Source organism: Homo sapiens, chromosome 3 (genome assembly GCF_000001405.40).
Source record: "Homo sapiens chromosome 3, GRCh38.p14 Primary Assembly".
NCBI classification, from domain to species: Eukaryota; Metazoa; Chordata; class Mammalia; order Primates; family Hominidae; genus Homo; species Homo sapiens.
This window is the reverse complement of record NC_000003.12, coordinates 72,035,280-72,050,806: the sequence shown is the minus strand read 5'-3', so window position 1 is coordinate 72,050,806 and position 15,527 is coordinate 72,035,280. Positions and strand designations below refer to the sequence as shown.

Here is a 15,527-nt window from a genome sequence, read left to right as displayed (position 1 = left end):
GCAAAGTCCCTTCCCAGCAGTGTGTAGACTCATGTCTCATTAAATATCCAGGGGATGGGAATTTGTGGGTTGGGGGGTGGGGGGTTCAGATTTAGAATTCTGCATACCACAGCACTTAAAAACTTTTTAAAAACCTCATTTATGATAAACAAACACACCTGCAGGGCAGGGGTTTCTAACCTGTGGGCCAATTCTTTTGTTTATTTGATAAATCTTTACGTAGCACCCACTGGGTGACAGCATTGTGCTAGGTGCTGGGAACACAGCATTTTACATGGCAGACAAGTCCTCCACCCTGATCTTCCAGATAGCTTATGGCTAAGGCAATCATGATCCCTGGGCTCCATTCCTGATTCTCTGGTTGAGTATTTATTTGTCTTCAGTTACATGCCCCACAAACCCTGTTTGTTTTTTCCTCCACCTTGAATATTCATAACCACGAATTGCTCCGATTTCCTAATCAGTCTCCCATGTGAGGTACATTTAAACAGGGACCACATCTAACACCTCTGTTCTGATGTCTTGGCCAAAGCAAATAAAATTACGAATGAACAGGAGGCTGCTAAATTCCCAGTGCCAGGAGACAGCTGCTATCGACAGGGCAACCTGAAGTCCCTGATCCAGGACACCAGATGTGGACTGGCACTGGGAGGGCAGGAAGAGCTTTGGTGATTTCCCGAATGCCAATTTTTGTGAGTCCTGTGGTTTGAGATTTCAGGCATCCTCCTCTCACTCACAGTAGCTTTCTAAAAGGAGGGCATTTCCACCTCCATTTGGGGCTTAAAATTCCGGAGAGCTTGAGATGTTACCTGCTGCTAAAATATGATTATGCACAACCAAATGGCCTGATCCAATATGCACAGCCTTATGGTCTAATATTCTCATTAATTCAATTTCATTAGTATTTCCTGAGCCCCTTGCATTAGATGCTTTAGGAATTTAAGTGGTTTCCTCACCTCTTACCAGCCCTCTTCTCAGCACACAGTTCACCTACACATAGCATCCTATATGGCCCAGAAATGGATCTGTATATTTTAAAAATATATCTATTTGCCAATACCCAGCAAAGTGTGACATCCCAGGAGAAATAGAATAATGCAGATGTGGTTTAAGTAGTGACCCCCTTGGCTGGAATTAATCTCTCCCTTCTCCATGCTCCTCTTAACACTGACTCCCAAATGCTGGGATTAGCATGGGGATAAAACCTGACCCTGAGGTGTAGTTGCACTTGACTGAGAATTACCTCCCTTCTCTTGATACCTGGGAAAATGTTGCCAGGCTTCTGTAGAGTTCTCTCCTGCAACTCCAGCAGGTCCAGAGATCACGGGCAGGCCACCAGGGTTTTATCTGCATAAATGTTTAATGGACCTATTGGGATAGTCAGTGACAAATGTTGAGTGGGACCCACAGAACTAAAACTATTTTTTAAAAAAGGAGTTGGGGGTTATAGCCCACCCCTCCACCCTCAAGATGGGGCCCTGGATATTAATAATAATGAGAGCTAATATTTACTGGGAACTCACTCTGTGCATGCACGTGCTTGGCATGGGCTTATATCATCTCGTTTAATCCTCATCAGAACCCTAAGAGGTAGATTCTATTATTACCAGCACCTTAAAGATGAAGAAACCAGGGCACCTAGGACTTGCACATCTGTCCAGGGTAATGCAGGCAGCAAGGTGGGAGAGAACCCAGTTGCACGCCAGCCAGTCAGAGGGCATCAGTTCATACCAGCTGGCAGAGATCATCCAGGGAGAACAGGATGAAGCGACGTCCAGCACCTTTCCCAGACCAGCCTGCCAGTGTAACAAGAGAGGGAGGAAGATCTTTGAGACTGAAAAAAACAAGCATATTTTATTTTTTTAATTTCAATGTTAGCATTGAGGGGCTGGCTGGGAACAGGCAGAGAAATGAGTTCTGGGCCTCTCCCAAGAGAGAGTGCTTACGGTTTTACTTAGTTTTAATTTTCTCTCCTGATGAAAAATTTGCCATGGTTAGAGAGGCACCAAATAAACAGAACTGTGACCGATGTTTTGCAATTTCCTTAGCGGATTCCACATATTTTTTAGAGTTCCATCAATATTTCAACAGTTGCAACCTGGTTCCCCCTCTGGGAAGCTGTGGTGGAGTCACGGTCCCCTGACATCCTGCTTCCCTCACACAGCAGAGGCTGGGCTTGTGTCTAGGGTCCTGAGATTTGAGAAATGTTGTTGGGAAGAGGGGCAGGCAGTATTGGGGCCCTGCCATAAGCTCTCAGCTCTCAGCTGCACCCACGAAAGCAGGTACTGCACACTGCTGGGTCTCTCTGCTTCTGGGCATTTTCCTTGGCCTCTGAGCCCCCAAAAAATACAGATGGGTGGCCCAACACCCCGTCCATGCCCCCAGGTAGGATAACTTGAAGGCACCTTCCACACTATGTCCCAGAGCTCTTCAGAATGAGCTCAACTGACCATAAGAACTTGCCTGACAGTGCCCCTCCTGGCCTGTTTCCCTTCCCCATCTCAACATCCTCACTCCCCCATTTGCCCTTCTTCCCAAATAAACCACTTGCACTCAAATCTTCACCTCGGGGTCTGATTGTGGGGAGACTGAACCTAGGAGCAGTCAGAGGGGTTCCAAGCCAGAGAGGGCTGCCAGGGAAATTCAGATTAACAGCAAGGATCAGGCTGGGCATGGTGGCTCATGCCTGTAATCCCAGCACTTTGGGAGTCCAAGGAGGGTGGATCACTTGAAGTCAGGAGTTCAAGACCAGCCTGGCCAACATGGTGAAACGCCATCTCTACTGAAAATACAGAAATTAGCCAGATGTGGTGGCACATGCCTGTAATCCCAGCTACTCAGGAGGCTGAGGCAGGAGAATCGCTTGAACCCGGGAGGCAGAGGTTGCAGTGAGCCGAGATCGTGCTACTACACTCTAGCCTAGGAGACAGAGCGAGACTCCATCTCAAAAAAACAAAACAACAACAACAAAAAACCCAGAAAGGATCGGAAACCTGGCAAACGGTCGTGTCAATAACGCCAGAAAAAGAAGATTCAGAAAGACTCACCCAAAAACACCAACCTGGAGGAGCCCTGATTCAGAGGGCCAGGTGTTTGCTACGACTAACACATCTCTGCTCTTGCGTCATCATAAGCTTGAGGGCGCCTTCCAGAGACATGAGTGGTCAACACTTCCAGGAAGCAGGGGCTGGCTGGGGTTGAGGTATCCCGCCTTCCTTGGGTCATTGCTGGTGTGTGTGTGTATGTGCAGTGGCGGAGACTGACCTAGAACACAAGAAGAACTCCAAGGACAAGGCTAAGCCTCTTCCAGACTGGGCACACATGGAGAAATGGAAAAAGGCAGGCGATTAGCACATCCTGGCAGCAGAGACAGACGTGGGCTTTGAGAAGAGTTGCTGGCAGGATTCTCCCACTCAATCGCACTTGGCACAGCAGACGCAAGGACCCCGTCTTACTATTCCTTTCCTTCTGAGCCAGAATCAACGCCATGAGTAGGGGCTTTTTTCCCTTCATTCCACAGGTTCAGGTTCAGCACCCCCATTTCTGCAACTCGATTCACTCTCAATTCACTCTTTTTCTGCTTTTCTAGTTAAATTCACTCAATTCACTCTTTTTCTGCTTTTCTAGTTAAAGATCCAGCTGGGGAAGGCCCTTGGTACCCAAGCCTTCAAGCACAAATATTGGTGGAGGCTCACTAAGTGGCAGACTGTGCTGAGTGCTTTAAATGCATGATCACATTAAATTCTATGTATTTGTTTGTTTATTCATTCATTCATTTAAGAGATATGGTCTCTCTCTGTTGCCCAGGCTGGAGTGCAGTGGCACAATCATGTCTCACTGTAGCCTCGACTTCCTGGGCTCAAGAGATCCTCCCACCTCAGGCTCTGGAGTAGCTAGGACTACAGGCATGTCCCACCACCCCCAGCTAATTACGTATTTATTATTATTTTTATTTTGTAAAGACATGGTCTCACTAAAGTGCCCAGGCTGGTTTCAAACTCCTGGCCTCAAGCGATCCTCCCACCTTGGCCCCCCAGTGCCCTGGAATTACAGGCATAAGCCACCACGCCTGACCTAAATTCTCTTCAAAATCCTACTTTGCTCTACTTCACAGTGAGAAAACTGAAGCACAGGAAGGTTGAATTATAGGCCTGAAGTCACACAGTCAGTGTAGCCCATCTGGAATTGGACTTTCAGATTAGTTGCCTCTGAACCTTGAGCTCTTAACCACTCTGTTAATTTGTTTCCTGGGTGTGTTTTGTGTTTGTGTGTGTGTGTGTTTTTGTTTTTGTTTTGTTGTTGCTGTTGTTGTTGTAGATATTACTATCTGAGGTAGGTAATGATCCTAAATAGACCTTGGATTTTTAAACCGCTTTACGGTTTACAAAGCCCTTACATCTCCATTATTATATAATATAACCCTCACCATAACTCATTGAGCCCTATAGGGCAAGAATTATTAAAACATAGTGCTTAGCACAGTACGTAAACAGTACCCACGAGTAACAGTAGCATCTTTCACCTTTTACAAATGAGGAAACTGAGTCTCTGTTTAAGTGACTTGCCAGAGACCCCCAGCAAGTGAAGAGCCGTATCTTGTGAACATGTTCTCTCCTGCTTTGGCAACCGCATCCTCTCTAGTTGTCCACACTCTCTTGGGTAATGCTGGATGGCACAATAGCTAGGACCACCTTCACTCTGATACTCAGAATCTCTACTGTGACTTCAGGGTAGTGGGCATCTGCTAATCTCACCTTTGTAGCCGGCATTTATGTTAAGAGGCTCTTGCTGAAGGCTTCTGTCCTACCTTGGCTAGACTACATTTCTCATTCCCCTATACTTGACTAGGGATGTGCTATCGTTTTTCTGGTTGATAATCTACTAACATTTCTTAGAGTCGATGTTCTAAGAGACACAGTTTAAAAAACACACCTAGTACAATCCTACTTTTAAAAACATATATATATTTAAAAATATATATTATATTTATATTTTAAAATATATATTATATTTATATTTAAATATAAAATAAGTTATGTTGTTATATATAATTATTATATAATATAGCTTATATATAATAATAATATATATTATATGTAACTATATATTATAGTTATATATAATATAACTATATATTATAGTTATATTATATATAACTATATTATAGTTATATTATATATAACTATATTATAGTTATATTATAATATAACTATATAGTTATATTAAATATAACTATATATTATAGTTATATTATATTATAGTTATATATAACTATATATTATAGTTATATTATATTATAGTTATATTATATATAACTATATATTATAGTTATATTATATATAACTATATATTATAGTTATATTATATATAACTATATATTATAGTTATATTATATATAACTATATATTATAGTTATATTATATATAACTATTATATATAGTTATATATTATATATAACTATTATATTTAGTTATATTATATATAACTATTATATTTAGTTATATTATATATAACTATTATATTTAGTTATATTATATATAACTATTATATTTAGTTATATTATATATAACTATTATATTTAGTTATATTATATATAACTATTATATTTAGTTATATTATATATAACTATTATATTTGGTTATATTATATATAACTATTATATTTGGTTATATTATATATAACTATTATATTTGGTTATATTATATATAACTATTATATTTGGTTATATTATATATAACTATAATATATAGTTATATTATATATAACTATAATATATAGTTATATAATATATAACTATATATAGCTATATTATATAATAATTATTATATAATATAAATTATTATATGTAATTATATATTACTGTTATATATAATAATGTTCTCTTCCCATTGGCTAGGCACATGTCTCTGCATGTGCCTAGCCAATGGGAAGAGAGCAGGTGGTCTGCCCCCTGGACCCTCCCCTCTAGTTTGTCCACATTCTCTTCCCCCAACTCCCTGCATGTAGCTCACCCTGGGGCTCTTTCTCTTTCTACACCCAGTGGCAAGCACGGAACGTTCCACCAGCATGTCCCTGCATCCTCTCTCTTCTTTAGAGCCTGCTGGGTGATTTTCTCTGGAATGCACAGAGCTTTCAAAAAAGTGTTTATTCCCTACTTTAAGCCCAGCACGGAAATCAGAAACAGGATGTCAAAAAGTACAAAGAGCTTAGGTTGCAATTCTGCTGGAATGCAAACCCAGGAAACTTCCTTTCTTTCTGGAGAAGTCATAATGGGATGGCTGGAAATTAACTTGGACTTTTCTGGGGCATGGGAAAGAGGAGACAGAAGCACACATATGGCTCATTGGGACCGCTCTGCCAGGAAAGCTGCTGCTGTGCTGAATGATGACATGTGGACTTGGGCCATTCCTGTGGTATTGGGCCACAAATTCTGGGAGGCCACAGATATGAGGAGGAAAGAGAGGAGGTTTGGCGATTTTATGGTCCACATTTCCCATGTTTAAGATGAATAGGTCCAATCACACTGGGACAGTGGTTCTCACCTACGGGTAATTTTGTCCCCCACTCGTGATGTTTTTAGTTGTCATAACTAGGGGGCAAGGAGAAGGCTACTGGCACCTAACGGGTAGAGGCCAGGATGCTGCGCCACATCCTACAATCCCTGAGACATACTACCCAGGCAAATGCCAGTCATGCCAAGGTTGAGATCACCTACTCTCAGACATCTTGAACTTTCCTACTGAATTAACCCTATCAGCAGAGAGCAGTGGGAAGAGAAAACATACACTTTCAGTGTTTTGAGGTTGTAAAGATGATATTACTTCAAGGTGTTTTATCTGAAAACCTCAAAATATCACATTATACCCCAATCCACAACTCATTCATTTGTTCATTCATTCATTTAACTAATAGTTACTGAGCATCTATTATGTGCAATGCCTGTACTGGGCTCTTCTTTTGCTTTGCTATAGTAAGTCCCCCTTATTATTCAGGTGTTGGTGGAAACATCACACCCTCAGAGAACCTTCTCTGGGACCATCCCATCCACAGCAGCCACTACTGACTTGTCACTATCAGTCTCTTGAGCAATTTCAGCTTAGTACTTGCACAATTCATGATTTTTTTAGTTAACTATCTGTCTCCTTTATGGTCTGCAGTTTCTATGAAGAGAGAGGCCAGGCTTGTCTATTTTTAGACACAGTCCCCAGCTCTGGGCTAAGTCCTTTTAAATGCATGATCTTTCCATGATCCCCATTTTATAGGTAAGAAAACTGAGGCACAGTTTATTCATTTATTTGCCAAATGAATGGATAAATAGCACCCCCCGCCCCCGCCTCAGAAGATGTGCTGTATTCATGCTGTACCTTATCTGTAGCTTATATACTGGCCAGTTTCATGTTCCTGGGGGTCATGACCTAATTTGAGAGGTTTGGGGAAATGAGCAGTCTACTTGGGACCTAACGCAGGCCTGCAACTTCCTCCTGAGGCAAGCTGTTTGATCTTGGGTAAGTCAAATCCTCATTCTGAGCCTCATGCACTTGTGTGCCAAAAATACACATATTTTCTAAAAGGTAGGATTGTACTAGGTCTGTTTTTTAAACTATGTCCCTTAGAACATTGATTCTAAGAACTGTTACTAGATTTTCAAGCAGAAAAATAATGACACGTCCCTGGTCAAGTACTTGTGGGAAATGTTTTAAATAATGATAGATTTTCTTTAATGCAGGACTTGTCAGAGCCTTCATATGCTACCACACAATGTGAATGCCCAGGAGGAAACATGTCTTTTTCATTGTTTTCCAAACATATCTGCTCAAGGAAATTCATTTATGTGAAGCACATTGAAGGATCTGAATTGCACGCATACCTTGGGCAATGCTACGTGGCACAATAGCTAGTACCGCCTTCACTCTGATACTCAGAATCTCTACTGTGACTTCAGGGTAGTGGGTATCTGCTATTCTCAGCTCTGCATCTGCCATTTGTGTTAAGAGACTCTTGCTGAAGTCTCCTCTTCTGCCTGGGCTCAACCACATTTCTCATCCCCCTATCCCTGGGAGAGAGACATGTGCCTAGCCAATGGGAGAAGAGCAGGTGGCCTGCCCCCTGGAACCTCCCCTCTAGGTTGTCCACATTCTCCTCTCCCAACTCTCAGCAAGATGCTAGGATCCAGTGAGGCATTCCAAAGCCCTGGGAACAGTGAGTCACAGATGGAAAGAATCTAGACCTCTGAAAGCTGCCCTACCCCCTGATTGGACTGAGACGGGAGCGAGAAGTAAGCCCGCTCTTGCATGAAGCTGCTGAGATCCAGGACTCATTCATGATGGCAGTTAGCCCAGGCTGACCACTGGGGCTTATTCAAGGAAAACAGAGTCCCACTCAGCCCCTACCACAACCCTGTTAAACATGAATGGGAGGATGAATAGGTGACTTCTTTTTTTTTTCCTCACCTCATGTCTCAGACCACAAGGCCACTGCTCACATGAACAGGTGCCTTCCATTTCCCAGTGTCGGTAACCAGAGGCAATGAAAGACACCTGAGGAAGACATAACACTGTCCCCAAGGCAGCAGAGCCTTTAATAATGATAACTGATGCTCACAGAGCCACTCTCCTACCTTTCTTCAAAAAGAAAAGGTATCAAAAGAGAAGGAAGAAAAAAATCCCAGTAATCTGTGCCCTGTGGTCAAGCACTGTCCAAGCTTTGGATGGCCATTGTCAGTTTCCCTGGGATGGAGTCTCTCTTGATACTTGTCAAGACACTGGCACATCCCACCTGCCAGTAGTTAAGATGCTGACAGCTCTTGCTGACCAGGTGTGGGAGCAGTGAACTGTGCAGGACCAGGTCTCTACTAGCCACCTGGTATTGGGTTGCTGTGTACCTGGGGCTGCTGGGCACTGCTGAGATCATGGAGCATCCCTGCTTGGGGCCAGCAACCTCTGTGCCCAGCCACAGGGAGAGGCAAGTCCTTGCTGCCTCTCCCAGCAGCCTGCATGTCTTGGATTTGGCACTGAGGACACTTCGGGAGGAGGAGGCAGACCAGGACAGGCTGAGTTCAGCTCCATCTGTCTCCGGCTTCTGTTTGGCATCTTGGCTGTGCTGTAGGAGCCCTCTGCAGTTCCGTGCCTCTCTCAGCAGCTGCTCAATAGGAGACAGGAAAATTGCTCTCCCTTCAGTGTACTAGTCTAGTTAGGAGGCATCCCCAGGAATCCATAGGAGGGAAGGAGTCCAGGATGGCCAAGACCAAAAGACAAAAACACACCTAAGCCCAGCCAAACCTGGCAGGCATTTGAATTTCCAAACTGAGTCTTGTCTTTCTTTCTTTTCCACTCAGCATGGCTGCTCCAAGCTGAGATATTAGCCCAGATAAACTCAACATGAAAATCATAATCCGGCAAGTCATGGCCATTCTTGTCAATTCTCTTAAAGGTTAATCTGCTTTTCTCCTTATTAATGAAGGGCCTCGGAAATGCAGCCGGGCCTCTCCCGTGTTTTGGTAGATTTGGGCTAATAGGTTATTTTATTTCCATGGTAACAGCTTCCAGTGTTACAGGAAGATAATTTTCCAGACAAAAGATTTGTGGGTCTTATTATTCTGCAGGGATCTGACTGTGAAGGCTGGGAAAGTGGGTTCACAGGCTACCCAGGATTGCAAGTTCCACCCATTCTGGGGCACCTGTTTGCCTCTGGCTTCTGGGTCTTGAAGCTTGTTAGGTGCCATGTATTGTAGGAAATTGGCAGGAACTGAATAGGAAACTGGCAGGGACTGAATAAAGACATCCTTTGAAAGACAATACCCTAAATTCATTCTCATATCAGGCAATGAGGTTGGAATGAGAAGTGGCTTGTATTATAGAAATCGCTGGCACAACAGGGGTCTCTGCCCTATGGGGTGAGCTGGGAGCTGTCCTTATAGTGAGGGGCACCCTACAAGGTGCCTCTAAGCAGAGCCATCACCCCCTACACCTCTCAGTCTCAGGGTAGACTGGCAGCATTCTCGCCTCCCAGGCATTCAGCACCCAGTTCAGCAACTGCCAGGTACCAGGCTAGTCAGAGGAAGACAAAAGATGAACAAATTGGCATGCCCCCTCCTCTAAAGGAGCTTAGAGTTTACTGGTGTGTTAGGGGATGGGTGGGTTAAAATAAAATAGGGGAAAGAAAACAGGCAATGGCCATACTTTGTGATATGTGTTACAATTGGAACATCCTGGGTCCAGGGAGCATAGGGAGGTCAGGAAAGACACACAGAGAAAGAGCTCTTTGAGGGAGACTTTGAGAGCAGTGTAGAAGCAAAAGCTTTTCAAGCATTGACTAAATGATTTGTATGAACAAAGCACTACTCTAGGTCCTGGGGATCCAAACATAGATAAAGCCAGACAGAGTCTCTATATACACCATGGGAGGGTAAAGAGACAATAATCAATACTGCAATTTAAGGTTGCAACTGAGAGTAGTGCCCCCCACAAGGGGGAAGTTCTTAATGCAAAGAGATGCAATGAGATGGAAACTGACCAAGACAGGACTCTCCCATATGGTTGGGCAGGCTGTACACTGCACAACTCTAGGGGGAGCCAGTCACATCATAGACATTATAAATTTGAATATTTATTATGACAGTTTTCTGGAATGTGGCATCCCAAATGTCTTAAGAAAGGGGTGCCATTCCTTAAATTGAACAAAATTAATTCTATGGCCTAGTGGAGCTCCTGCCAGGAAGAAAAGGAAAGTCTTCCCCCCGTAAGGGACAAGCTCTAGGATCTGAAGAGTGGGTAGGAGCTCAGAGGGTAAAGAGACAGAAAAAAGGATGTCCTGGATGCAGGGAACAGCAGGTGCTTGTTGAGGTCATTGTATCCCAGAGACTGAAAAGCAGCCAGGGAGGTTGCAGCAAGTAGAATGGGGAGCACGGTGCTGGGGAGTTGCAGCAAGTAGAATGGGGAGCACAGTGAGGCTGGAGAAGGCAGCAGGAGGTAAATCGCACAGGGCTAGGTCAGCATTTCACCTCCCTACTTAGAGTTTCCAGTGGCACAGGACACCTGGGGGCCCTGGACCTCCGGACAGGAATAAGTGGGTAAATTAGATGCAGCCGTGAGAAGGAGCCTTTGGTTAGTTATGGAAACGAGGCAAAATTGGTGGCCCATAGACTAATGATTATGAGAGTCTGGTCTGTGGATCACCCACATCAGAAGCCCCTGGGATGCCTGTTGCAAATGCAGCCTCCTGAGTCCCCCACAAGACCTACCACAGTTGACTCTCTGGGGCAAGGGCAGGAATCTGCTTTTACCATATGAAGCCATGTAATGTTTTTGCAACCCAAGTTTCAGAATGCCTGGGTTATGCTAGTGTCTGTTCAGCTACATTCTGATCCTTATTCTGCCCTTCCTAGCTATGAAATTTTAGGCAAGTTCAAGGCTTTCCTTGGATTTATTTCTTTATTGATCTGATGAGTTCCATAACATCTGCGCCCCCCCACCCATTTTTTTTTTTTTTTTGAGACTAGGTCTTGCACTGTTGCCCAGGCTGGAGTGGATCTCAGCTCACTGCAGCTTCATCTTCCTGGGCTCTAGTGATCCTCCCACTTCAGCCTCTGGAGTAGCTGGGACTACAGGCGTGTGCCACCATGCCCCGCTAATTTTTGTTTTTGTTTGTAGAGATGGGCTTTTGCCATATCGCCCAGCCTGTGACATTTCTTACAAGAGGATGATTTGTGGTGTTTGTTTTGAGAAGGAGTCTTGTTCTGTCATCCAGGCTGGAGTGCAGTGGGGCAATCTCGGCTCACTGCAACCTCCACCTCCTGGGTTCAAGTGATTCTCCTGCCTCAGCCTCCTGAGTAGCTGGGATTATAGTCATGTGTCACAATGCCAGGCTAATTATTTTGTATTTTTAGTAGAGACAGGATTTTGCATGTTGGCAAGGCTGGCCTCGAACTCCTGACCTCAAGTGATCTGCCCGCCTCAGCCTCCCAAAGTGCTGGGATTACAGGCCAGAGCCACCGCACCCAGCCTAATGATTTGTTCATTATTGCCCAATGTTCCTTGAGGAATGATTCTGTCAAGGAGGCAAAGAAGTTTCATCTTATGTGTCACATCTACTTCCTTACGAGTGGCTGCTAAAAGTATATACAGCAGTCCCCTGCTTATCCTCTGTTTCACTTACCTGCAGTCAACTAGTCTGAAAATATTCAATGGAAAATTCCAGAAATAAACAATTCATGAGTTTTCAATTGTACGCCGTTCTGAGTAATGTGATGAAATATCATGCTGCTCCTCCCCACCCTGTCCCACCTGGGACCTGAATCCTCCCTTTGTCCAGAGTATCCACACTGTATACACTACTCGCCCACTAGTCATTTAGGAGCATCTCAGTTATCAGGCCAACTGTCATGGCATCACAGTGCTTATGTTCAAGGAGCCCTTACTTTACTCAATAATGGCCCCAAAGGGCAGGAGTAGTGATGCTGGTGATTCAGATTGCCAAAGAGAAGCCATAAAGTGCTTCCTTTAAGTGAAATGGTGAAAGTTCTCAATTTGTGGAAAGAAAAAAAAAATCCTATGCTGAGGTTGCTAAGATCTATGGTAAGAATGGATTTTCTATCCATAAAATTGTGAAGAAGGGAAAGGAAAGTAGTGCAAACTGTATACAGGCTTCCATACATTCCACAGTTCCAGGCATCCACTGGGGGTCTGGGAACATATTTCTAGTGCATATGGGGTACTACCGCATTGATTGACTAAAGATGGCTGTCACAAGCATTGAAAGGGAGGTGGTGAAACATCAAGTCTCCAGCTACACATATCTTATATGAGAAGTCAGCCATCAGAGCAGCCTTCCAGACCACCTGAAGTAGCACAGTGCACCTCCCTCCCTAACGCATCTCCATGTCATTTCCATCACAGCCTTTATTACAATCTGTAGCCCTCTTGTTTATTTAGTTGCTCACTTGTTTCTTTCTCTAGTCTTTTTCCCCTTGCTGACTATAAGCTCCATGAAGACAGGGCTGTGTCTCTTTGATTCACCACTGTCTCCCTCACGCTATGCACAAAGTAGGTGTGCATTAAGCAAGTATTCAATGTATGAATAAAGGCATCAGGGCTTGCCATCCCTGAACTCAACGCCTGGCACCATGCAAAGCACAGAAGACACAGGGCCACTTGACAAAGACCAACATCCAATTAGGGAGATAAGACCTATCCAGAAGGAGGAATCAAACTCAAGCCAAATGAAAGAAGCAAAAACACAGAAACAGAAAAGGAAGGAAGGAAGGAAGGAAGGAGGGAGGGAGGGAGGGAGGGAAAGAGAATCAATCCCTTCAACCAGAATTCTGTAAAGATACAATGAAGTGATCAATGTCAACTTGCTATGATTGATTGAAATGTTATCATTCAACCAACTGTGTTACCAATTAACACAAATTTTGCCATCTTGTGTTACCACTGGGGGAAATTGGGGAAACATGGATCTCTCTGTATTGCTTCTTACAATTTGAGGTGAAACTAAGTATCTCAAAATTTAAAAGCTTTTTAGAAAAGAAAAAATTCCACAATTTCCAATGTACTTGAAAGTTGGAAGCTGAACCAAAGGGCACTTCAGCCCCACAGATTCCACTCCTTGTCTCAACCCTTCCCCCACCACAATGTGACCAAATTGTTTACAGTCCATTCTCCCAGAGGCTCCTGGCATCTCTTGTAAACCACAATCTGTTAGACTGTAGCTTCAGCAAAGATTTCTGGAAGACATCACTGAAATTCTGAGTGTCCAATGTGGGCATGAAGCCAGTTTTCTAGCTTCCAGCCTGTCCAAATCTGAGGCTATTACAGTATTCAAATGGCAGCCTGTGAACTCACATTTCAAGGAGACTGTTCCTCTTGCATCCTGGACTTCCACCATGGAAGGTTCACGTCCTTGAGTCTAATGACTTGGTCCTCACCAGGCTTCCTTGCTGGAACATAAGCACCACGAGGACAGAAATACTGGTGGGTTCCCTGCTGTTGCCCCTCGCCCACAGTGCCTATCACATCAGTGTCCCCATAGTGGCCATTTGCAGTTCCTACCTGTTCAACATCCATTTGTTGTTCTGCTGATAAAAGCATTCTTGTTTTTCCTTTGGGGAGCCACCCCTCCCGCGTTGCAGACAGTCTGAGGGGCAGGGGGAGTTTAATTCAAAGTGCCCTCGTTTCTGCCCTGGCCAAGGGGAAGCAGGAGACCCGAGGCAATCAGAATTGGTAAATGCCAAGCACTAGATTTTTGCTAAAAATATATTAAAAGACACGTTCTCTCTTTCCCCTACAGTTATTGTTCTGATAGAATATCAGCGGGGAGCTACTGAGGACCTCCTCACTACCCTCCCTTGGAAGAGTTTGTCTGCAATGGAGCCAACACAGTGGAAAGCAGAGCTGAGAAATGGACAAACAACTCCTGATGCCTCATTTGAGCACCTGGATTTAGCCATGTCTGAAGCTATTATATCCTTGAACTTTTGAATCATGTAGGTTACCATAATTCCTTTTTTGTTAAAGCTAATTTGAGTTGGGTTTCTATCACTTGCAATCAACAATTGACCAGGTGCTTAGTACATAATGAATGAGTGAATGAACAAATTCAATTCTGTAAGTATTTATCATCTCCTTACACGGCAGGCACTGTTTTAAGTCCCAAAGAAAGAGGCAGAGGAGCGACAGAGATGACTTCCTCCCTTGAAAACGAAGCATGTGGCCTGACAACCTAAAATTGGGGTCAATCCATCCAATTATGGTGACTGCTTAGAAATATCCCTTTTCCTCCCAACGTTTTCCTTTCCTTCTCCCATAAACATAATAATGTCTCCTGCCAGTACTAAGGCATGGCCCATGGACCCACTAACACCTATGCTCACGTTAGCTCTTGAGGCCGAGTGGCTTGGTTCTATCTGGTTATCAGATGCAAACTTCATCACAGCAGGGATTTGGGCTAGACATTAGAGGAATAGTGTGGTACCAGATGGTGTTTCTGAAGAAGGTTGTCCTATTTTTGCAGTTTAAGGATTTGATAATAAATCTGCCTGGCAGCCCTCAGATGTGATTTGGCCTTGAAATCGTCTCTGTTAATCCTTGATGCTGTGTGTATCTGTCAAGGTCCAACCAGAAAAAACAGAACCTGCTCTAAGTATCTGAACAAAGGGAAATTTAATGTAAGGAGCTGATTGCACAGATGAAGGAAGGGGCTGGGAGGCAAACAAGAGGGAACTGTGAGGTAACCCAGGGATTTGCCACAGTAGGAAGACATGACCACTACTAGGATAGAGAGGTAAAAAATAAAAAAATAAAAAAAGAGATGGTGTTACTTGTATTCAGGAGGTGGAGTCATCCAGAGGAGGCTGAAGCCATGGCAGGTCTGTGTGGCAGAAGCTGCTGCCAGGGAAGACATACCATGGCTCCAAGAAAAGCTGCCAGAGACAGAAAGTGTGGGGGAGAAAGATTCTTCCTTTTCCCTGCCTCCCACCTCTCAAACTCACCGCAGAGCTTCCCCTTGGCCACATCCAACTCAGCACCTCC

General features: G+C 43.9%; 1 long non-coding RNA gene across 1 annotated transcript in view, besides 1 other annotated feature; it reads left to right on the top strand.

Annotated features, from left to right (window-relative positions):
* The window catches only part of LINC00877 (long intergenic non-protein coding RNA 877), a 64,937-nt gene extending 49,649 nt beyond the window's left edge, over window positions 1-15,288 (top strand). The window contains exon 7 of the long non-coding RNA NR_104116.1: window positions 14,287-15,288. This is a non-coding gene — a long non-coding RNA (long intergenic non-protein coding RNA 877). The remainder of the gene's footprint in view (window positions 1-14,286) is intronic.
* Window positions 2,755-3,255: an enhancer, noted in NCBI's record as "H3K27ac hESC enhancer chr3:72096703-72097203 (GRCh37/hg19 assembly coordinates)". NCBI's record gives its function as "activates a minimal SCP1, AML or CMV promoter by ChIP-STARR-seq in naive H9 embryonic stem cells {active_cell/tissue: H9 hESC(naive)}" and the evidence as "EXISTENCE:reporter gene assay evidence [ECO:0000049][PMID:30033119]".
* Window positions 15,289-15,527: the final 239 nt, after the last annotated feature.